Source organism: Homo sapiens, chromosome 10, assembly GCF_000001405.40.
Source record: "Homo sapiens chromosome 10, GRCh38.p14 Primary Assembly".
NCBI classification, from domain to species: Eukaryota; Metazoa; Chordata; class Mammalia; order Primates; family Hominidae; genus Homo; species Homo sapiens.
In genome coordinates, this window is record NC_000010.11 from 97242503 (window position 1) to 97267105 (window position 24603).

The 24603-nt window shown below is 41.6% G+C and overlaps 1 protein-coding gene and 1 long non-coding RNA gene across 4 annotated transcripts in view; both read right to left on the reverse strand.

Moving 5' to 3' along the window:
• The window catches only part of ARHGAP19-SLIT1 (ARHGAP19-SLIT1 readthrough (NMD candidate)), a 139632-nt gene that overhangs the window by 89461 nt on the left and 25568 nt on the right, over positions 1 to 24603 (reverse strand). The window contains exons 2-8 of the long non-coding RNA NR_037909.1: positions 23358 to 23623; positions 22324 to 22404; positions 20918 to 21127; positions 16900 to 17126; positions 13816 to 13902; positions 3770 to 3835; positions 1466 to 1657 (exon numbers count right to left, since the gene is read on the reverse strand). This is a non-coding gene — a long non-coding RNA (ARHGAP19-SLIT1 readthrough (NMD candidate)). The remainder of the gene's footprint in view (positions 1 to 1465; positions 1658 to 3769; positions 3836 to 13815; positions 13903 to 16899; positions 17127 to 20917; positions 21128 to 22323; positions 22405 to 23357; positions 23624 to 24603) is intronic.
• Positions 1 to 24603, reverse strand: part of ARHGAP19 (Rho GTPase activating protein 19) — a 70459-nt gene that overhangs the window by 20324 nt on the left and 25532 nt on the right. For 2 of the 3 annotated variants that reach the window (NM_032900.6, NM_001256423.2), the window contains exons 2-8: positions 23358 to 23623; positions 22324 to 22404; positions 20918 to 21127; positions 16900 to 17126; positions 13816 to 13902; positions 3770 to 3835; positions 1466 to 1657 (exon numbers count right to left, since the gene is read on the reverse strand). In NM_032900.6, the coding sequence (NP_116289.4) occupies positions 1466 to 1657; positions 3770 to 3835; positions 13816 to 13902; positions 16900 to 17126; positions 20918 to 21127; positions 22324 to 22404; positions 23358 to 23623 (1129 nt within the window). The remainder of the gene's footprint in view (positions 1 to 1465; positions 1658 to 3769; positions 3836 to 13815; positions 13903 to 16899; positions 17127 to 20917; positions 21128 to 22323; positions 22405 to 23357; positions 23624 to 24603) is intronic. The other variant, NM_001204300.2, reaches the window with a different exon arrangement.

Sequence of the window (24603 nt, forward strand, 5' to 3'; positions counted from 1 at the left end):
TTTTTGTTTTGTTTTGTTTTGTTTTTTGAGACGGAGTTTCACTCTTGTTGACCAGGCTGGAGTGCAATGGCATGATCTCGGCTCACCACAACCTCTACCTCCTGGGTTCAAGCAATTCTCCTGCCTCAGCCTCCCGAGTAGCTGGGATTACAAGCATGTGCCACCACACTCAGCTGATTTTTTGCATTTTTAGTAGAGACTAGGTTTCTCCATGTTAGTCAGGCTGGTCTCAAACTCCTGACCTCAGGTGATCTGCTTACCTCATCCTCCCAAAGTGCTGGGATTACAGGCGTGAGCCACCATGCCCGGCCCTAATTTTGTATTTTTAGTAGAGACGGGGTTTCTCCATGTTGGTCAGGCTGGCCTCGAACTCCCGATCTCAGGTGATCCACCCGCCTAGGCCTCCCAAAGTGCTGGGATTACAGGTGTGAGCCACCGCGCCCAGCCGGTATCAGTGTTCTTGTTGAAAGAAGTCATTATACCTGTCCTACATGAAACTACTTAGTTTCTATCAAGAATTAAATCACTAGACTGGTTTGAATCTGCAGCAATACTCAGCCAACACCCTGTAAAATTCCAGTTGTAACACAATTTGCTAGATCTCAAAGTAATTTCAAAGAGATGGCAGAAACTTCTCTTAAATGACTTTGTTAATTCTTAAGAACAGCTCAGTTCACCATTATCTGAGTACTTGTTTATACCTGGCCTTATGCTGAGAGTAGGTATAAAATAAGTAAAAACAGACTCTTCCCCCAAGGAAGTCCCAGTTGAATAAAAGTCAAGAGGCTGACCCTGCCTGCTCAGGTAAAATTCAAGAGGGATTGAGACAAAATTAATCTTGAGAAAGAAACTACCCAAAGTCACAGAACTAACTTAAACCACACTTTGAGTCCCAAAATAGCAAATTTGTTCCCACAGCTCCAGCATAAACAAACTTAGCCACCAGAATTCCTACTTTCTAGTATCAGACTAGGGTCCTGATTTATTGTGTTCTCTAACTGCAAACAACTCTGTTAGTAAAAAGTTACCACTTAGACTTTGCTATGCCAGCCACTCTACACAGATTATCTCTAATTTTTACAACTTTGAAACATTGCTGTTACTATTACCATTTTACAAACAAAACTGAAATTCAGAAAAGTTATTTGCTAAGAAAATCTGGAGGGTTTAAACTTCGGAACAATATGTTTTAACTGCTGGTTATCTCTCAGCAAACTTGGGACATGACCAAAATGAGAGACTCTCTAACCACACTTGGATCCTCCTGCTTAACTAGAAATCAAGAGACTCCACTCCCTTCTGTAGTGGAGCAATGGCACAGAGATCACTGTGGAGATTCCATAGACAAGCCTGATTTCTCAGCTGAACCAAAAATTAAATGAGATTCTTAACAATATGACCTACTGATTCTACAACCACGATTACACTCCTAAAGCCCCATCACAACTTCCCTGCCTTTAGGCACCTGTCTAATAAGTTGTTTCTTCTTTGCTGACTCTGGCATATCATGAACGTGTTGAAACAGCTCTCTCAGTGCCTCTTCCGTATGGTGCTGGGTCTCCTCCTGGTGAGGGCAGGAATCTACCCGGTTCCGTTTCTGAGACTTTGCCAGCTGAAAGGACTTAGTATGACATGAAGCTATGAGGTCAAGGTCATCCTAAGGAAAATTTAAAAGAAGAGTAAATTAATATATCCTGCCAACTTTGTTTTGGGGTTCTTACAAAAACCTGGAACAAAAAAAGGGAGAGTGGGGACATGGTATACTCCTATACTCAGGAACAAGAAAAATCTTAACACTATTATCAGATAACAAGGAACCTATTAATATAGGTTATATTAATAGCCCACTCCCATGACCTGCCCAGAGAACCTAAGTGCATTTGGAATACTGCCACCAAGAGTTATATTTGTGTAAGAGTTTAGTTTTTAAAGCATCTTTTAATTTCATTAATTTATTCAACAATTCAACAAGGTAAGCATGGAAAGTATCATGATTCCCATCTGACAGAGGAAAAAAACTGAGGTTAAACTGTAAGTTTAAAGTCATCTGGATACTAAAGTGACAGACCCACCTGGGAGCCCAAGGGCTCTGACTCTTGGCTAATACTCCTTCCCACACATGGCAACTTAATACGACAACTAGACAGCAGTGCTAGAGGAACAAAAACAGCTCTCTAACAAAAACCACACTCCAGTTAAACTAGTTGAAACCAAATACTGTTTTCCTGGTAACAATGAATATTTGCTGAATAAGAGGGAGAAACAAATAGGAGCAGAAAAAATTGCACAAGCGGACAGCTTAAGTTTCTAACCAAGACAGGATGAACAGAACTTGAAAATTTTAAGCACTCAAAAAGTGCTTGTAAAATTTTTAACTTCTCACTTTTTTTTTTTTTTTTTCAGAGCAGGAGTGGAAGTTTATTTAAAAAGGCTTAGAACAGGAAAGAAAGGAAAGTATGCTTGGAAGAGACCCAAGCAGGCACATAAAGGTCAAGTGCCTAACTTCTTTTTTCATTTTTTTGAGATGGGGTCTCACTCTGTCACCCAGACTGGAGTACAGTGTCACCATCTTGGCTCACTGCAACCTCCGCCTCCTGAGCTCAAGTGATCCGCCCACCTCAGCCTCCCGAGTAGCTGAGACTACAGGTACGTGCCACCACATCTGGCTAATTTTTTGCATTTTTGGTAGAGACTGGGTTTGGCCATGTTGCCCAAGCTGGTCTCAAACTCCTGATCTCAAGTGATCCGCCTACCTTGGCCTCTGAAAGTGCTAGGATTACAGGCATGAGCCACCACACTCGGCCATAACTTCTTACTTTTAAAACTCAATACTCATATCTAGGCTGGATGTGGTGGATCACGCCTGTAATCCCAGCACTTTGGGAGGCTGAGGCAGTCGGACTACTTGAGCCCAGGAGTTTGAGACCTGGGCAACATGGTGAAACCCCATCTCTACCAAAAATACAAAAATTAGCGGGCATGGTGGTGCATGCCTGTAGTCCCCAGCTACTCAGGAGGCTGAGGTGAGAGAACCAGGGAGCCAAGATCATGCCACTGCACTCCAGCCTACCCAACAGAGCGAAACCCTATCTCAAAAAAAAAAAAAAAAAAAAAATCATCATTATCATATCTGATCTTGTGAATAAGCATTATACATTTCCCTATCTATCTAAGCTCATGTGGTCTCAAGTCTTTTAGCCATTTGATAGAGTTTTGCCATACCAATGAACCTAAAATAGGAATGAATTACATAAAATTGTCCTTTCGTTCCTATAAAATATGTAACACATTTGCTATTCACAGATTATTTCTATCAGAAGGACTTTATGAAAAACCTTGAAACACAGGGTCTGTGTCATCACTCTTACACAGAGGACACCATCTATCAGTGGAGAACCTCTGAAAGCAAATAAAAATTGTGGGGGGGAGGCACTTTTTTTTTCAAGAGACAGGGTCTCGCTGTGTTACCCAGGCTGGAGTGCAGTGGCACAATCAGCTCACTGTAGACTTGAATTCTCCCATCTCAGCCTCCAGAGTCACTGAGATTACAGGCCTGAGTTACCATACCTCACATGTGGAGCATTTGTATTCTAATACATAACTTACTTCTTAGTCTTCTTCATTATGGCAAAATGACTAAGTAATTTTGAGCTATAATACTAAAACTTATTATTTTCCATGCTTTTACTTTGACTTCATACTTTGTTTTAAGACTCCACAAATCTTAATGCTCTCCTTGTTTGGGTTAAGAGCAGATTCCTATTCTTACCTTTGATGCCTGAGTTCTGGATCCCAAATAGTGCAATCTCGCACACTCCCGAATGTAAGCAGGAGCCTGGGCAGGACATAAAAGAAAACCAAAACCCAGTGATTAGTAGAATATAACATTCTTTCAGGCCGCAAGGACAGTGGTTCTCAAAATCATTTGACCAGCAGATTACTTTTAAAAAGCCAAAGATCCTCAAAATTCATAGCCCCTCCATAGCTTCCTTTCTCTTGCCACCAAATAGATACCTCAACAAATCTGATGGAAAAACTGTGAGAAGACACCAATGTAGTTGTTGCCACTTTAAAAATCAAACATGGCATGTATATACTCAAATAAGCCAAAGACAAAAACATAGACATTTGTAGGAATGTTTCTATCTAACAAAAACCACCCCCTCAAATCCTTACAAATTATAAGTGGTCTCCAGATCACATTTTAAAATCACAGTGTAGAAAATATCATTTAATGTCTGTAATCTCAGCACTTTGGGAGGCAGAAGCAGGAGGATGGCTTCACTCCAGGAGTTTGAGACCAGCCTGGGCAACACAGGGAGACCCCCAACTCTACAAAAAATTACTAAAAAATGGCCAGCACGGTGGCTCATGCCTGTAATCCCAGCACTATGGGAGGCCAAGGTGGGTGGATCACCTGAAGTCAGGAGTTCGAGACCAGCCTGACCAACATGGTGAAACCCCATCTCTACTAAAAATACAAAATTAGCCGGGTGTGGTGGCGTATGCCTGTAATCCCAGGTACTCAGGAGACTGAGGCAGGAGAATCGCTTGAACCCAGGAGACAGAGGTTGCAGTGTGCCAAGATCACACCATTGCACTCCAGCCTGGGCAACAAGAGCGAAACTCCATCTCAAAAAAAAAAAAATTACAAAAAAATTAGCCGGGCATGGTGGTGCATGCCTGTGGTCCCAGCTACTCAGAAGGCTAAGGGGGAGAATCACTTGAGCCCAGAAGTTCAAGGCTGCAGTGAGCCATGTTCATACCACTGCACTCCAGCCTAGGCAACAGAGCAAGACCCTGTCTCAAAAAAGAAAGAAAGAAATACCATTTAGAATTACTATGGACTAGAATCCTGTGACAACTACCCTGATACTGTCTTAGTAGATGTGCAAAATAATACAACTACCATAGAGGAAAACTGGGTTTGTAACATCTAATAAAATTACATTTGCACTTACCCTTTTACCCAGAAACCTCACTACTGGTAACATATCCTGAGTATGTAACTTCAGAAATGCAAAACACACTCGTATAAGATTAATCAAAAAATTGGATACAACCCAAATGTTCTTTAATAGAGAACTGGTTGAATCAACTTTCATACATCCATACAATACAGTACTATGAAGAAAGGAAGGGAGAGGAGGCAGGGAGGGAAAGAAAGGAAGGAACAGAGGGAAAGAAAGGAAAGGAAGGGAGGGAGAGAAAAAGAAAGGATGGAGAGAAGGAAGAAACACTTAATGAATTGATATGGAAGGATTTCTAGGATCTACTGTTGAGTGAGAAAAGTGAAGTAAATGTATATTTGTGTAAGAAAAAACCAGGAAATAGGAATATACACACAAATGTACATTTACTTGTTTTTATAAAAAGAAACACTAACAGGATAACCCAGAAAACAATGAAAATAATTAGAAAGGATTGAGATTTCTCTAAGTATATCTTTTAATGTGGTTTTGACTTTTTTTTTTTTTTTTTGAGACGGAGTCTCACTCTCTCGCCCAGGTTGGAGTGCAATGGCATGATCTCGGCTCACTGCAACCTCCGCCTCCCAGGTTCAAGTGATTCTTCCGCCTCAGCCTCCCAAGTAGCTGGGATTACAAGCACCCACCATCATGCCCGGCTAATTTTTGTACTTTTGTAGAGACGGGGTTTCACCCCGCCTTTGGGAGGCCAAAGCGGGTAGATCACTTGAGCCCAGGAGTTTGAGACCAGCCTGGGCAACATGGTGAGACCCATCTCTACAAAAAATACAAAAATTAGCCGGGTGTGGTGGCGCTCACCTGTAGACCCAGCTACTCGAGAGGCTGAGGTGGGAGGATCGACTGGTCCCAGGAGGCAGAGGCTGCTGTGAGCCCAGATCGTGCTACTGCACTCCAGCCTGGGTGACAGAGTGAAAATCTCCAAAACAAGAAAAAAAAAATCTGAAATTTGTAATATAAGAAAAAAAGAAATACAAATACAAAATACAAGAAGCCAAGAAAAAGTTGCGTAGTATTAAATCTGAATTGGTGGTATTAATATGAACTTACAATTGCTTTAAAAAAATGTTTTAATCTATTTCTTTGCCCTCAAGCAGCCTAGAAGCAATGACACACCAGAAACAATGAATATACCTAGTATCACTCAGAAGCCAAGGTTCCCTGGAGAAATAATTACTCCGATCTAGGCCAGCGCAAGTACAAAGTGAGCTGGGAACATTTTATACCAGAAAGGAAACACTCAAAGACAATACAGTCCTGTCAAAAAGATGTAGAAGCCGGTTAACAAGGGCTATCACCGGCCAAATCTGGGATAATTTAAATATCAATTTTGTTTGTTTGTTTGTTTGTGACAGGGTCTCACTCTGTCACCCAGGCTGGAGTGCAGTGGCATAATCTCGGCTCAGTGCAACCTCCACCTCCCGGGCTCAAGCCATCCTACCACCGTAGCCTCTGAGTAGCTGGGACCACAGGAGTGTGCCATCACGCCCGGCTAATTTTTTGTATTTTTCATAGAGATGGGGTTTTGCCACATTGCCCAGGAGAATATCAACATTATAAGTAAAATTGACTAACACTTTGGAAAAATAAAAATCCATGAGTTTATATTAATATTCATTTTTAAAGGGAGAGAGAATGAGACAAAGAAAAGCTATTCTCCAAAGAAGAAACTCAGCTTATAAAGGCTAAATGACAAAATTAGAAAATCTTTATTTTTAATACCCAATAGATTCCAGCAGGATTATCAACGGATGCTAAAACCATTATTAGGTAATCACTCTACAGGTTATTTACTAACCGCAAAGGGGAAAAAAATTTACCTTTGTAACTGAAAGATCTGGCAGTTAGCAAAATTAACATCATGAAGAGAGAAAATCAAACAATCTGTGTCTCCTCATGTGAGGCAATGTGACGCACACAAACATCACCTGTGAAGTATCTTTGCCAAAAATGCTTAATCTGAATCTGATTAAGACTGTAGACCTGGCTTCTACTTTACAGGAACTACATGGAAGGTGATAGAGGAACAAGTTAAATAACTTGAGAAAACAATAAGACAAACTTAGAATGTGAGACATTCTACAACACAGTTAACTTGATGCTTCAATAAATGACATGAAGAAAAAGCATGAGTGTGTAGATTAAAAGTGTCATAATAATTAAAACCAGTACAGAAGCTTTGATTGGCCTATATTGAAAAAAAGTATGAAATACATTCTTAGGACAGCTGGGGAATTTGAATATGTACTGAAAGCTAGTTGATAAGAAATTCTTTTTAGTTTCTTAGATGTGATAATAGTAGTGTGATTCTTTTTTTTTTTTTTTTTTTGAGACGGAGTCTGGCTCTGTCGCCCAGGCTGGAGTGCAGTGGCATAATCTCAGCTCACTGAAAGCTCCACCTCCCGGGTTCACGCCATTCTCCTGCCTCAGCCTCTCCCAGGGGCCTGCCACCGCGCCTGGCTAATTTTTTGTATTTTTAGTAGAGACGGGGTTTCACCGTGTTAGCCAGGATGGTCTCGATCTCCTGACCTCATGATCCGCCCGCCTCAGCCTCCCAAAGTGCTGGGATTACAGGCGTGAGCCACCGCACCCGGCCAGTAGTGTGATTCTTAAGAGAATATGTTTATTATTGGGAGATGCATACATAAGTACTTAGGAATGAAGTATCATGGTGTCTGCAACTACTTTTAGTGATTCAGCCAAAAAAGTGTATGAACATATATAGAGAGAGATAAAGCTAATATGGCAATATGATAACATTTGTTGACACTGGGGGAGAGTTATATATGAGTATTCACTGTTTTACTCTTTTAACTTTTCTCTATATTTGAAATTTTTCAAAATAAAGGTCTTCAAAGAGTCTCATGACAAAAACATGATATGTATAGTTTAATTTCTTTTTCTTTTTTTTTTTTTGAGATGGAGTCTCGCTCTGTCGCCAGGCTGGAGTGCAATGGCGCAATCTTGGCTCACCACAACCTTTGCCTCCCGGGTTCAAGTGATTCTCCTGCCTCAGCCTCCAAGTAGCTGAGACTACAGGCGCCCACCACCACGCCCGGCTAATTTTTGTAGTAGAGATGGGGTTTCACCGTGTTGACTAGGCTGGTCTTGAACTCCTGACCTCAGGTGATCCACCTGCCTTGGCCTCCCAAAGTGCTGGGATTACAGGAGTGAGCCACCACGCCCAGCCAGTTTAATTTCTAAATTGAAAAACTATAAAACGGAGCTTAAGACCAACAGAAATTTTCTCCAAACAAGAATATATCTATTCTATTTCATTTAAAAAAAAGAAAGAAGGCCAAGAGCGGTGGCTCATGCCTGTAATCCCAACACTTTGGGAGGCCAAGGCAGGAGAAATGCTTGAGCCCAGGAGTTCAACACCAGCCTGGGCAACATGGTAGTACCCTGTCACCACAAATAATAGAAAAATTAGCCAGGCATGGTGGCACGCACCTGTCCCAGCTGCTTGGGAATCTGAGGTGGGAGGATCGCTTGAGCCTGGGAAGTCAAAGCTGCAGTGAGCAGATAGCACTACTGCACTCCAGCCTGGGGGGCAGAGTGAGACCCTGTCAAAAGAAAGAAAATAAGGAAGGAAGGGAAAGGGGAAGGGGAAAAGGAAGGGGAAGGGGAAGAGAAAGGGGAAGGGAAGGGAAGAGAAGGGGAAAGCCAAGGGGAAGGGAAGGGGAAGGGAAAGGGAAAGGAAGGGAAGGGGAAAGGGAAGGGGAAGGGGAATGGAAGGGGAAGGGAAGGGGAAGGGAAGGGGGAGGGAAGGGGAAGGGAATGGGAAGGGAAGGGAAAAAGGAAGGGAAGGGGAAAAGGAAGGGAAGGGGAAGGGAAGGGGAAAGGGAAAGGAAGGGGGAGGGAAAGGAAAGGGGAAAGGAAGGGGAATGGAAGGGAAGGGGAAGGGAAGGGGAAGGGAAGGGAAAGGAAGGGGAAGGGAAGGGGAAGGGGAGGAGACGGGGAAGGGGAAGGGAAAAGGAAGGAGAAGAGGAGGGGAAGGGGAGGGGAAAGGAAGGGTAAGGGGAGGGGAAGGGGAGGGGAAGGGGAGGGGAAGGGGAGGGGAAGGGAAGGGGAAGGGGAGGGGAAGGGAAGGGGAAAGGAAGGAAGGGGAAGGGAAGGGGAAGGGAAGGGGAAGATGAAGGGGAAGGGAAAAGGAAGAAGAGGAGGGGAAAGGGAGGGGAAGGGAAGGGGAAGGGGAAAGGAAGGGAGGGGGAGGGGAAGGGAAGGGGAAGGGAAGGGGAAGGAAAGGGAAGGGGAAGGGAAGGAGAAGGGAAGGGAAGGGGAAGGGAAGGGGAAAAGGGGAAGAAAAGGAAAGAAACAACAAAAACCACCATCCCCAAAGATGCTATGAGCTGAAAAAATATCCAGAAAGGGCACCAGGCTTAGACAAATAGGCTTACATGAAAGTCTGAGTTCTTAAGTATTTTACAATTCATAGAGAAACAACAAGAAATTTATAGAGAAACAAGAATTTTACAATTCATAGAGAAACAACAGAAGGACTGCTCAAGTATTAGAAATTGGCCTTAACTGTATATACATTGTAAATCTCTAGGAAAAGATGTGGTGTTGGGAAGAGTTAAACCAGACTGAAAGAGATGGACTGATAACAGTAGAGGACAGAACTAGTAATAGTTAAGAAGAATTTTAGGAAAAATGATAAAGCAGGAACATAGCAAGACCTCATCTCTACAAAAAATTAAAAACTAGCCAGGTGTGGTGGCATGCGCCTGTGGTCCCAGCTAACCAGGAGGCTGAAGTAGGAGGATCACTTGAGCTCAGTGAGCTGTGATCATGCCACCACACTCCAGCCTGGGTGACAGAATGAGACTGTCTCAAAAAAAAAAAAAATAGCCCGGGCGCGGTGGCTCACGCCTGTAATCCCAGCATTTTGGGAGGCTGAGGTGGGCGGATCATGAGGTCAGGAGATCGAGACCATCCTGGCTAACATGGTGAAACCCCGTCTCTACTAAAAATACAAAAAAAATTAGCCGGGCGTGGTGGCAGGTGCCTGTAGTCCCAGCTACTCGGGAGGCTGAGGCAGGAGAATGGCATGAACCTGGGAGGCAGAGCTTGCAGTGAGCTGAGATCGCGCCACTGCACTCCAGCCTGGTGACAGAGTGAGACTCCATCTCAAAAAAATAAATAAATAAAAATAAAAAATAACAGATGCTGATGAGGATGTGAAGAAAAGGGAACTCTTATACACTGTTGGTGGGAATGCAAATTAGTATAGCCATTATGGAAAGCAGTATGAAGACTTCTCAAAAAACTAAAAATAGAACTACCATATAATACATCAATCCCACTACTGGGTATGTATTCAAAGGGAAGAAAATCAGTTTTCAAAGGAATATCTGCATCCCCATGTTTATTGCAGCACTATTCACAATAGCAAAGATATGTAATCAACGTAAGTGTCCATCAATGGATGAATGATAAAGAAAATGTGGCGTATATACACAATGGAATACTATTCCGCCATAAAAAAAGAATGAAATCCTGTCAAATTGCAGCAACATGGATGGAACCGGAGGCTATTAAGTGAAATTAACCAGGCACAGAAAGACAGATATCACATGTTCTCACTCATATGTAGGACCTAAAAAGTGGATCTCAGGTTGGCTGCGGTGGCTCACACCTGTAATCCCAGCACTTTGGGAGGCCGAGGCGGGCGGTCAGGAGTTAGAGACCACCCTGGCCAATATGGTGAAAACCTGTCTCTACCAAAAATACAAAAATTAGTCCAGTGTAGTGGTGCGTGCCTGTAATCCCAGCTACTCGAGAGGCTGAGGCAGGAGAATCGCTTGAACCCAGGAGACGGAGGCTGCAGTGAGCTGAGATTGCATCACTGCACTTCAGCACAGGTAACCAGAGTGAAAACTCTATCTCAAAAAAAAAAAAAAAAGTGCATCTCATGGTGAGGGAGAAAAAGAAAAGAAAAGAAAAAAAGATTGATCTCATAGAGGTAGGGAGTAGAATAGTTACCAGATGCTGGGATAGGTGTTAGGGGTGAGAGTAAAGATCGGTTGGTCAATAGGTACAAACATGTAGTGAGATAGAAGAAATATGTTCTAACACTTAATAGCAAAGCAGCATGACTATAGTTAACAACAACGTATGGTATATTTCAAAATAACTAGAAGAGGGGACTTGAAATGTCCCCAACACATAGAAATGACAACTATTCAATGTGATGGATACTCTACATACCCTGACTTGATCATTGCACATTCAATCCAAGTAACAAAATATCATATGTACCCAATAAATATGTACAAATATTATGTGTCAATAAAAAGTTTACCAAAAAATCATATGCTGAGGTTGCTAAGATCCACTATAAGAATAAATCTATCTATGAAACTGTGAAGAAGAAAAAAGAAATTCGTGCATAGTATACATATAGGGTTTGGTACTAGCCACAGTTTCAGGCATGTACTCAGGGCTTTGGAACATATCTCCCATGGATAAGAGGGAACTACTGTATAATGAAAACTATAAAATACTACTGAAAGGAATTAGAGAAAACATAAATAAATGGAAAAGTATCCCATTTTCATATTATTGGATAAGATTGCTAAGATGTCAATACTACTCGAGGCAATCTACAGATTCAATACAATCCCTATCAACCTTAGAAACATCAAAATACCAATGAGGTTTTTTGCAGCAAAGATAGAAAATGCATCCTAAAATTCATACGGAATCTCAAGGCATCTTCAACAGCCAAAACAATGTTAAAAATGAAGAACCAACCTGGAGGACTCGAGCTTCCTGATTTCAAAATTTACCACAACACCTTTACAACATTTACTAATCACACCACCATGGTACTGGTATAAAGTCAGATAAGTAGACCAATGGAATAGACTAGAAAGCCAGAAATAAACTCTTACATATATATTCAAATGCTTTTCAATAAGAGGACCAAGACCAATGGAGAAAGGACAGTTTCTTCAACAAATGGTGCTGGGAAAACCATGAAACCACATGCAAAAGAATGAGGTTGGACCCTTACCTAACACCAGAAACAAAACTTAACTCAAAATGGGTCAAAGACATAAACATAAGACCTAAAACTATAAAAACTTTTAGAAGAAAACATAAGGCAAAAGCTTCATGACAATGGATGTGGCAGTGATTTCTTGGATATGACACCAAAGGCACAGGCAACAAGAGAAAAAATTGACAAATTAGACTTCATAAAATTTTTTTAAATTTGCACATCAAAACACACTATCAACAAAGTAAAAAGGCAACCCACAGAATAGGAGAAAATATTTGTCCATATAGCTGATAAAGGATGATATCTGGAATATAAAGGGATATCCATCAACTGATGAACAGATAAGCAAAATGTGGTATATACACACAGTGGAATACTACGCACCCTTAAAAAGGAAGGAAATCCTGTCACATGCTACTGTGTGGATGAACCTTGAGCACACTATGCTAAGTATAAATAAGGCAGTCACAGAAAGACAAATACCGTATGAGTCCACTTACATGAGGTACTCAGAGTAGTCAAATTCATAGAGATGGAAGGTAGAATGGTGGTTGCCAAGGATGGGAGGAGGGTTTTACGGAGTTACTGTTTAATGGGTACAGAGTTTCAATTTTGCAAGATGAAGAGTTCTGGAAATGGATGGCGATGATGGCTACACAACAACGTGAATGTACTTAATGCCACAGAACTGTACGCTTAAAAATGGTTAAGATGGCAAATTTTATAAGCATTTTACTGCAAGAAAAAAAGAAACCAGAACTGGATGATCTTGGAAACTTTCAGCCTCTCCAGATGGCAAAAGATGCTAAAATTGGCACACGCCTGTAATCCCAGCACTTTGGGAGGCTGTGGCAGAAGGATTGAACCCAGGAGTTCAAGACCAGCCTGGGCAACACGTTGAAACCCTGTCTCTACAAAAAAATACAAAAAATCAGCCAGGCGTGGCAGTGTATGCCTGTGGTCCCAGCTACTGGGGAGGCTGAGGCGGGAGCATCACTTGATCCCAGAAGGTTGAGGCTGCAGTGAGCCAAGACTGTACCAATGCACTCCAGCCTGGGCGACAGAGTGAGACCTTGTCTGAAAAAAAAAGATGCTAAAATTAAGAGATTCACTATCAAGGAAGTATACACTAAAGAAAAGGTCAAGGATGTGACTGTGCTACGTTTTGCTAAAACCTTAGAAACATCAAAAGGTCAGAGTATTCAATCATACAAAGGGCCCTTTCAAGAGAGTAAGAGCGTACCTCACAGATCCTCTCAATTAAACCAGAAAGCCTTTAGGAAGCTTAAAGGTACTGTCCCTTAGGTTTCTCAGCAGGTGACCAAGGTAGGGAAAGATTTATCTTCAAAAGATTTGTATATGTGGCCTTTGTCTAATAGAATGAATCTCAATGAAATCCACAGAAGACCTACAAAGTTCTTAGAAAATTATGTCAGCAGAAATACAGCCTGTTTGGATTGAAAGGGCCAAAGAGTACAAAATGACCCCCAAAATTCTACTGGCAGACCCCCAAAACTCTACTGGCAGTAAGCAGGCAGGATAAAACTACCTAGCTGCCACGTGTGCTGCCTTTGTGAAAAAGGAAGAATGGCTCAGAGGGTGGAGTCAGTTACCCAGAGGACCCAGCCCTACTCAGCCTCCTATTCCTACTCCTTTCCACCATAGTGGTTGTTACCCCCTGGGTTTTGCCACTGTCCATTCTGGTTTGCAATCCCATTCAGGACCTTTTTCTCGTTTAGTTATCTTTATAGCCCCACTTAGGATCCCACCTTGCTCCATTTTCTTTGTCCTGTTACCAGCCAAATGCTATCCCTTACCTACCTTAAAAAGTTTCTGGGAGTGTTTAATCATAAAAGCCATCCCACTGTTTAACTTTGTGATATTCTCCTGAAGGTCATTTGCAGTGACCTATTCAGAGGAAAAGAAACCAAACAATGGACATTAAGAGCTAGAAAGTAGTACTTACCAATAAGCCTGTTCTTTCAAATGTATGAAGTTTCTATCCCTAGCCTAGGTGCCTCTAATACAATGTTTAATTCTGGGAAGACTTTTTGGTTCATCAGGATATGACATAATCTAGAAAAACAATGTGTCCCTGAAGTGACGAGGAAATCCTTGAAAACCATTTTCATTTCCTAATTCTGCTTGAAAATTAGACATGTAAACAAAATTGGCAAGGAAAATCTAGTCTAGGATTCAAAATGGGCAGAAAAAAACAGAATCTGTTCCAGCTATCAAGGACACCACTGCCTCTTTAGAAAACTAGAGTTTCTCCAAAGACAAAAAAGAATGGTCACTACTGATACCAAAGGTGACATCTGTTTCTTAAAAACACAGTAAAATTACCGGGCGTGGTGGCTCATGCCTGTAATCCCAGCACTTTGGGAGGCCAAGGCGGGCAGATCACGAGGTCAGGAGATTGAGACCATCCTGGCTAACACAGTGAAACACCGTCTCTACCAAAAATACAAAAAATTAGCCGGGCGTGGTGGCGGGCGCCTGTAGTCCCAGCTACTCGGGAGGCTGAGGCAGGAGAATGGCATGAACCCGGGAGGCAGAGCTTGCAGTGAGCCGAGACCGCACCACTGCACTCCAGCCTGGGCGACAAAGCAAGACTCTGTCTCAAAAAAACAAACAAACAAACAAACAAAAAACACAGCAAAATTGTCATTGATTCCCTTCCCTTGTTTCTCCTGTCTTTTTTAAGTAATTCAGTAACTCTACTATCCCAAAGCCCTCATTTTCAACATGTATCTTTGTTACTTTATCTGTTTGCTTTTAAATACTTTTTTTTTTTTTTTTTTTTTTAGAGATAGGGTCTCGCTTTGTTACCCAGATTGGAGTACAGTGGTGCAATCATAACTCACTGCAGCTGCAAACTCCTTGGCTCAAGCGATCCTCCCACCTCAGCCTCCCAAGTAGCTAGGAGTATAGGCATGTGCCACCACGTCCAGCTTATTTTTCTTTTCCTTTTGTAGAGACAAGGTCTCAAGGTCTCAAGGTCTCACTGTGTTGCCCAGGCTGGTCTCAACCTCCTGTCCTCAAGCAGTCCTCCTACCTCAGCCTCCCAAAGTGCTGTGATTACAGGCGTAAGTCACTACTTCTTTTTATAACCACAGTTTGCTCACTGCTTTTCTATAGTCTTGGTTAGCTGGTTCTAAAATTCCTTCATTATAAGGCTTGATCTCCTTAATATGGACAAATGTTGATGTGTCTTCTGCTCCCCCTACTCACCCCCAGAGGCTCTTCCTGACCCAGAACTTTATTATTTTTTCACTAGTTATTTTTTAAGTAAAATGTTTCACACAATCTCTCTCCTTTACCTTCCTTTTCTCATTACTTATAATCTCAAAAATTTTTTATAAATTACTATAACCTATTTCTATTATCTTCCCAACAGCCTTGTGGGGTATGTAGTAAAGCTATTACAGTAAGTCCTCACTTAAGGCATCAATAGGTTCTTGGAAACTATGACGTTAAGTGAACCGACATACAGCAGGTCCTCGAATAACATCATTTTCTTCAACATCTTTTCATTATAACATTGATGAGAAAAATAATTTGTTTTGTTATAGATTATTTTGATTAAAGTTTCAGTTTCCAAGAACCTATCAACGATGTTAATAGGTTGAGGACTTACTGTATTATGCCCAGTTTACAGAGGAAAAGCCTATGCATAGAAAAGGCAAAAGACTAAACAAACAAAAAATGGCTTGTAGACAGCTGTTTAAAACATGAAAGGTAAAAGGCCAGGCGCGGTGGCTCACACCTGTAATCCCAGCACTTCGAGAGGCAGCAGCGGGTGGATCACCTGAGGTCAGCAGTTCGAGACCCGCCTGACCAACATGGCAAAACCCCATCTCTACTAAAAATACAAAAATACAAATATTAGCCAGGAATAGTGGCTCACGCCTGTAGTCCCAGCTGCTCAGGAGGCTGAAGCAGGAGAATTGCTTGAACCTGGGAGGCAGAGATTGCACTGAGCTGAGATTGCACCACTGCTCTCCAGCCTAGGCAACAGAGGAAGACTCTGTCTCAAAAAAAAAAGGTAAAAGACATAGGTAACATCGCTGGTGTGTGGCTTCCAACCCACCTATCCTGGCTCACAACTCCATCACATAGTAAAACCATATTATAAGTGGGCAGGAATATGAGCTATGTACCTCCAGGTCAACAAGTTGTTTAAAAGACTTTAGATGAGGCTACAGTGAGTAGTGATTGTGTTACTCTCCTCCAGCGTGGGCAACAAAACGAGACCCTGTCTCAAAAAAACAGAAAAAAAGACTTCAGAGAATTTATTTCTCTGTGTTTTTATCCCTCAGGCATTTAAAAAAAAAAAGAGAGTGAGTTTATTTCTCTTGTAAGTCACTGAGAAGACCATGGTCTCCATAAGAAGAAGCAAGTTCAGCTTTATCCAAGGAGACTACATATCTACAGGAAATACAAAAGTCAGGACAAGGCAGGATTGCTCCAAGTGTCATCTCATCTATAAATCCATAAGCTTGGTGACATTATCCCATAAGATCACACAGCTCTATTCTAATTTTATAACATTTGATCTTCAGAAACTAATTTGATTTCCCAAGAAGCCTTTCCTGTTAAGGATTCCACAATGAACAGCCAAAATGAGTATTCTAGTTTATTCAGTAGTTATAATTTCCCACTAAGAGTTTCTACTAATACAATGCCATGTAGGTTTACCAGAGATTGATTTATAAGTGAGGTTAGCAGGAATTGGCCCTCTCAGGTCTGATGACTCTTCAATGAACTAATAAAGTAAGTTCCCAACCTCATAAAGCTGAAGGCTAGACCTTGGACCCTTGATAATCTCACCAATGTACAGCCATAGAATGAGGCCCAGCCCAAGAAAACCAAGCAATCTTTACTCTTCCCGTCAACACTCACATTTTTTGGCCACAGGACATGGGGTGCAAACATAAGGGCAAGGTTATAGGCTGACATCTTGTTCTTGTCTTGTTTCTTTGCTGTCTGGTATAGGAGATCAAGCAATAACTTCAGCAAATTACGATTAGGAGGAGGGAGAATGAGGAAGAGCAACTGGAGAGCCTCAATTTGCCGGTCCTTGTCTGGTATATTGGTCTTGTTTCCTTTATCATCAAACTGCATCAAATCTTGAGGACAAAAGAGAATTTGCAAAGTGGGGAGAAAATATCAGCAAGAAAAATCAGTGCTATCACCATTATCCTCCCCTCAACTCCCATCAAAGAAAGAGGGAAAAAAGATTCAGGCAGAAACACAATTCAAAGACTACAGCAAAACATAATAACAAAATAATGTCAATGCAATTCAACAATAAAAAGATTAAAAAACCTGTTTTGTTTTGTTTTGTTTTTTTTGAGACAAAGTCTTGCTCTGTCACCCAGGCTGGAGTGCAGTTACACAATCTCAGCTCATTGCAACCTCCGCCTCCCGGGTTCAAGCGATTCTCCTGCCTCAGCCTCCCGAGTAGCTGGGACTATAGGCACCCGCCACCACGCCCGGCTAATTTTTTGTATTTTTAGTAGAGGCGGGGTTTCACCGTGTTAGTCAGGATGGTCTCGATCTCCTGACCTTGTGATCCGCCTGCCTCAGCCTCCCAAAGTGCTGGGATTACAGGCGTGAGCCACAACACCCGGCCAAAATTTTTTTTAATGTGTACAGGATTTGAATAGACATTCCTTCAGAAGGTATACAAGTGGCCAAGAAGGCTTTGTATGCTCAGTATCATTAGCCATCAAGAAACTATAAATCAGGCCGGGCACAGTGGCTCACACCTGTAATCCCAGCACTTTGAGAGGCCGAGGCGGGCGGATCACAAGGTCAGGAGATCGAGACCATCCCAGCTAACACAGTGAAACCTGTCTCTACTAAAAATACAAAAAAATTTGCCCAGCATGGTGGTGGGCGCCTGTAGTCCCAGCTACTCAGGAGGCAGAGGCAGGAGTATGGCGTGAACCTGGGAGGCGGAGCTTGCAGTGAGCCGAGATCATGCCCCTGCACTCCAGCCTGGGCGACAGAGCAAGACTCCATCTCAAAAAAAAGAAAAAACAAAACAAAACAAAAAACTATAAATCAAAACCACAATGACATACCACTTCATATCCACTACAATGGCTATAACTACAAACAGATTGACAATAAAAAATGTTGGCAAAGATGCAGAGAAAATTAAACCCTCCTATATTGCTGGTGGGCATATAAAATGATATAACCACTTAGAAAACATTTTGGCAGTTCCTCAAAAAATGAGAGTTATCATTTGACCAAGAAATTCCATTCCTCGGTATATACCCAAGAGAAATAAACACATATCCAAGTCAGGCACAGTGGCACATGCCTGTAACCCCAGCACTTTGGGAGGGCAAGGTGGGCAGATCACTTGAGCCCAGGAGTTCGAGACCAGCCTGGGCAACATGGTGAAACCCCATCTCTATATTTAAAAAAAAAAAAAAAAAAAAAAGATCCACACATGCCTTTGATAATGCTACTCACTCCACTTTTCCCCACTCAGATATTTTACAGCTAAAAGAAAAATGAGAATGAAAAATGAGAATGAATGTCCTTATTCACAAGCTGCTCCTTATAACAGGCAGCTCCCAATAGGGTCAGAATTATTGGTTCTTCCCTAACAGACTAAAAAGGTTATCAATGAAAACAGTCCCCTGGATAATGAGAATTTCAAAGGACACTAATAACCATTTGAGTACAACTCACATAGATGTAAAAATGATTACAGTGTGTTATTTAAGCTGTTTAACCTCAATAATTCCAGGTTTAGGAAGGGCAGGTAACATTTCTAGAAAATGTTCTCTGTTAATATGAAACTGAAAACAAAAATTATTTCCAGTTATCAGCAAGGCATATGAAAGGCTACAACTGTGCCACGCCTCAGTATGTTCTCAAAGAACAGTCAATCACAGGGTAGTGGAAGGGAGGATTTCAAATATTGCACTAAACGAATGAACTGAACTGGAAAGCAAACAAAACAAGCATCCTTCATGTTAACACTTGTAAAAAGAATATTTTCCAAATCTTTTTCAAAGGTCTAACATCTTTATTTCTCCCCAAAATAACTGTAAAATTGTATAACATTCTAGTAGTATTTACTCATTGCATCATTTGGATTGCTACTAAAAGAGCTAAAAAAAAAAACTAATCGTATTAGATTTTTAAAATTCAACACTTGTTTCTTTAAGTAGTAAAAATTATTCAAAAGGAAAAAATCTTCTATTTCTTTTCCATATAATTAGAAGAAACAGGAAAAATACTCAGGGGCAGGAAACTAAGCAACTGCAGTAATGGATATTGATGCTGTGAACACTTAGAGCCCATAGCAGCATAACAGACGTGCAATTTAAGAATGAATTCCCTACCACATGGGTATAAAGCAGTATGAAGAAACTATTTATGAGCTGAAAATGGAACACTCTCCAAGATACAGTAAGTGAAAAAAGCAAACCACAGAACCATGTGTGTAACCTATTACATAAAAATCAGAGAAAAGGAATATATGTATTTGTTTGGAAGTACACAAAATATCTCTGGAAGGATACTTTAGAAATCAGTAACACTGGTCTGGGGGCTGCGGCTCATGCCTGCAATCCTAGCACTTTGGGAGACTGAGGAGGGAGGATCACTTGAAGCCAGGAGTTTGAGACCAGCCTGGGGAACAGGCTTTCTTTTAAAAAAAAAAAAAAAAAATTTTTTTTTTTTTAAATCAGTAACACTAACCAGTGTTACTGGTGTTGGGGACTGGGTGAACTGGGTGTTGGGGAACAAGTGTAGGAGAGAAGGTTTTTACTGTATATTATTTGAATCATCTGAATTTTGAACTATGTGTTTCTATTCAGAAAACAAATAATAATTTTTAAAAAAAATAAATTTCCTTGGCTGGGCACAGTGGCTCACATCTGTAATCCCAGCACTTTGGGAGGCCAAGGTAGGCCGATCACAAGATCAGAAGTTCGAGACCAGCCTGGCCAACATGGTGAAATCCCGTCTCTACTAAAAATACAAAAATTAGCTAGGCGTGGTAGCGCGTGCCTGTAGTCCCAGCTACTCGGGAGGCTGAGGCAGGAGAATCACTTGAACCCGGGAGGCGGAGGTTGCAGTGAGCCGAGATTGCACCATTGCGCTCCAGCCTAGTGACAGAGCGAGACTCAGTCTCAAAACAAACAAACAAACAAATAAAATTTCCAAGAGTAGAGATGCCCTCAACCGAGGCATAGAAATACTGAGCAAAAACCCCAAACCAAGGCAAAAATACCGAACCTATAAACATCTGAAATATATGAATCAATCCAATGAAAAGCATACATTTATTAAGCAACTAAAACACGTTGGGCACAGTGGCTCATGCCTATAATCCCAGCACTTCAGGAGGCCAAGGTGGGCAGATGGCTTTGGCCCAGGAGTTTGAGTCTGGGCAACACGGCGAAACCCCATGTCTACAAAAATTACAAAAAAATTTGCCAGGCGTGGTGCCGCACACCTATAGTCCCAGCTACTTGGGAGGCTGAGGTGGGAGGCTCACCTGAGCCCGGGAGAGCAAGGCTGCAGTGAGCCAAGGTTGCACCACTGCACTCCAGCCTAAGTGACAGAGTGAGATCATGTCTCCAACTAAAATGTTCTACACACTACTCGAGGATCTATCAGAGATTCAAAAATAAATAAAACTCAGACGACATCTTACTACCAGCTCCTTATCTCAATACAAAGCTTATTTATCAAGAAAGCCATTCAATTAAAATTAAACTTAACTAGCCAATACCTATGAGTACCCAGAGAAGTCCAGCAACATCACGAAATCTTAACCAATATTAATAGAAGTATTTCTGTGGGTCACAAGCAACAGAAATTTCCTAGGAACTTTACTAAATTGAAAGAAATGTATTTACATCTCCTTCTTACTTCCTATACTCACCAGCGATTTTGAGGTGTGCATTGAAGTGTTTATGTGTCAGCAGAGGCTCCGGCAACTCTCCTAGAAACATCTTCAGCAAAGTGGCAACATCATTTGAGTGAAATTCCCCTGATTCCAAGTCAATGTCAGTTCCATTATTGAGAGCATCCCTTAAAATCTGCTGTCGGACACTATTACCCGGTACTCTAAACAAACCCTCTACTCGCAAGTCTGTTTAGCATAAAACAAAGCAGAGGACAGGCAAAAAGGAAGCAGAAAGATTATTATTAAAATAAATGGTCTAAAGACTACTTTACACTTAAAAGACCCTTCACAAAGCCTTTCAAGTAAGTTTTTGCCTTTTTTCACCAGGGTAGTTTAGAACCTATTGACCTCCTGAGGAGACATATCTGAATGTCCCTGAGCATTTGGAGATCTTCCAAACTAAAAGGTAGTCCTCCTGGGAGTCATTCAACCTCCTGAGGTATGGATAGACAATCTGAATTTAACCCAATCAATGGTCAGGAATAGCTTGAAAAATAAACTTTAAAAAAGCCAAATCTCCCTAAAGACCTCTTCTTGTTTATCCCAGACTTCGTTTGGAGGGGCTACATACATCTGTGGATGTTTGTGGCTCTTGTAAACTGTTTTCCCAGCCCAGAATGAATCCAGAGTCTCTGCATTGCTCCAGGAATTAGAACTCTAATGTGTCAAATTCCTAAGAGATTCCCAGAAGCTTTAGGGTCATCCCAACTAAACTATTCGTCCCTAGGCCAGGCTCAATGGCTCACGCCTATAATCTCAGCACTTTGGGAGGCCTAGGCGGATGAATCACTTGAGCACAGTAGTTCAAGACAAGCCTAGGCAATATGGCAAAATCCCATCTCTACAAAAAACTACAAAAAGTAGCCGGGTGTGGTGGTGCAAGCTTGTGATCCCAGTTACTAGGGAGGCCAAGGTGGGAGAATCACCTGAGCCCGGGAGGTCAAGGCTGCAGTGAGCCAAGATCACACCACTGCACCCCAGCCTGGGTGAGAGAACGAGACCTTGTCTCAAAAAAAAAAAAAAAGTAAAGAGTGTGTTTTAATCATAGAATTCTGGAGAAAAAAGGTACCATGCTCTCTTAAATAAATGCAACAATTCTTTAGGGACAATGTATTTTTCCAGAAGTGTCTCTCTGAGGCAAGAGGTAAATGTGACTTCATAGACACGGTCTAATTTATATACACTTTGAGAGTATAAAACAAATGAATATATGAGATGAAGTTTAAAAGGAAATATATTTAAAAACATGCCACCCAAAATTAACACTGGTTAGTTCCTTTGTTGATGGTTAATTGGCACCTACTAACTCAAGGCAGTTAGCTCTCAACAGAAAACAGAATTCTTCATTAAACAAAGAATGATAAAATTTCAAGTAGTCTTACTTTTGTGTAGATACTCAATCAGTTGGTATATCTGGGCAATGCCTTCCTCCGTCAGTGGGGACCCAAATATCACTCCTTTTTCTGAAAAACCATATGATATGACAGGGCTATATTTCACACAAATAGTACAAAATCATCATACCTAAAACCACTCAAGCATCCTATTTTACAATTCAGCAAGCATTTTCACATGGTCAGTAAACAAAAACCTTAGAACTGGAAGTGCACCAGAAAACGCGAGCAGGACAACTCTCAATCAGCTCTCTCTAAGTTCAATATTAGACTGTAGGTTCCCTGAAGGGAAAGACCATCTTCTTATTCAAGTAAGAAGCATATATCTAGTAAGTAAGGAGATATCTAGCGTGTTAGTATTTAATTTAACAAACAAACAGAAGGCCAGGCATGGTGGCTCACACCTGTAATCCCAGCGCTTTGGGAGGCTGAGGTGGGAGGACTGCTTGAGGCCAGGAGTTTGAGACCAGCCTGGGCAACATAGTGAGACCCCATCTCTACAAAAAATAGAGAACAGTCAGGCATGGTGTCATGCACCTGTAGTCCCAGCTAGTGGGAGGCTGAAACAGAAGGAGAGTTTGAGCCCAGGAATTCAAGGCTGCAGTGAGCTATGATGACACCACCACACTCCAGCATCGGCAACAAAGTGGGACCCCATCCCTTCAAAAAAAGAAAATTCAAGCATTCTGTTCTATAGTCTCTAGCTATGTAACTTTGGTTTTTAAATATTATTTTCACATATTAATAGGGCATGAAAATCAAGATGCCCCGATGACTACCTAAGTTAATCATGTCTTCTCTCAGGGACTGAAAATATTTGCTTTAGTTTAATTATTTATTTATCTAGACAGTTTTTATAATTTGTATTACTATTACTTAAGGTGTTACTACTTATAAAAACTGAAAAAATGGCCAAAAAATGCTTTAAGTTAATAGCAACTCTTCGGTGAATGTGTAGATGTTGAGAGAGAAGCCCAGGGAGCAGCTGAGGCCTGCCCACCCTTCACAAACACATCTCCTACCCTTTCGCTTGAGAGACATGAGAGACCGGAAGAATCCTGATGCTGGGCCAGCCCCGCCAGGCAACTTAAGGTCCACTTCCCCCATCAGCTGAGCCAACTCAGTTCCAGGTAAATCGATGAGCCTTGTGATATTGCTGACCACCAACTCAGTGAAAATCTCAGGTTTCTCATGTCGGAGTTTCTCCACAAAAAAGTCAGGATTAAAGATAATGGGCTGACCTCGAAGGGAAGAATCATTGCAGATCACAAAACTGCAGATGGCATCACTGAAAAACACAGAAGAAAATCTTTCGGGACATCATTTTTGTATGTTTCTTATGCACTACTCATTGGGTTATTTGGTCCTGACTCCACGCAAAGGCAGAGGTTTCCTTATAGTCAGCTTCCTTTAACTGAGCCAGATGCCCTTGAACACTGTTCCTTATAACCACAAAGCCTCACAGAAGGGAAGGCATTTACAGGTACATAAAACAGTAATTAATTCAGCTTTTCCCATGTCCACAAATAGGTTTTACTTTAAAATCCTTCAATTCTGGATGCCTCTGACCCATTCGTCATCATCTAAGTCCAACCTCTGCTCAGACAGGTTCTTCTCTCTAGGGCTCCTGATCTTAGCTGGTTCTCCACTCTTACATTACATTGGGCTATACTCCTGGCAAAGCTCCTTTGAATCTCAGAAATATTTTCTTCCCTGTTCTTTGTTTCCCAATGCCTACTATACCCCTGTATTAGTCCATTTTCATACTGCTGTGAAGAAATACCCAAGACTGGGTAATTTATAAAGAAAAAGAGCTTTAATGGACTCACAGTTCCACATGACTGGGGAGGCCTCACAATCATGGCAGAAGGCGAAAGAGGAACAAAGGCACATCTTACATGGCAGCAGGCAAGAGAGTGTGTGAAGGGTAACTGCCCTTTATAAAACCATCAGATCTCATGAGACTTATTCACGCAGGGAAAAAAACCACCTCATGATTCAATTACCTTCCACCGAGTTCCTCTCATGACATGTGGGGATTATGGGAGCTACAATTCAAAATGAGATTTGGGTGGGGACACAGCCAAACCATATCATTCTGCCCCGGCCCCTCCCAAATCTCATGTCCTCACATTTCAAAACCAATTATGCCTCCCCAACAGTCCCCCAAAGTCTTAACTTATTTCAGCATTAACTCAAAAGTCCACAGTCCAAAGTCTCATCAGGGACAAGGCAAGTCCCTTCTGCCTATAAGCCTGCAAAATCAAA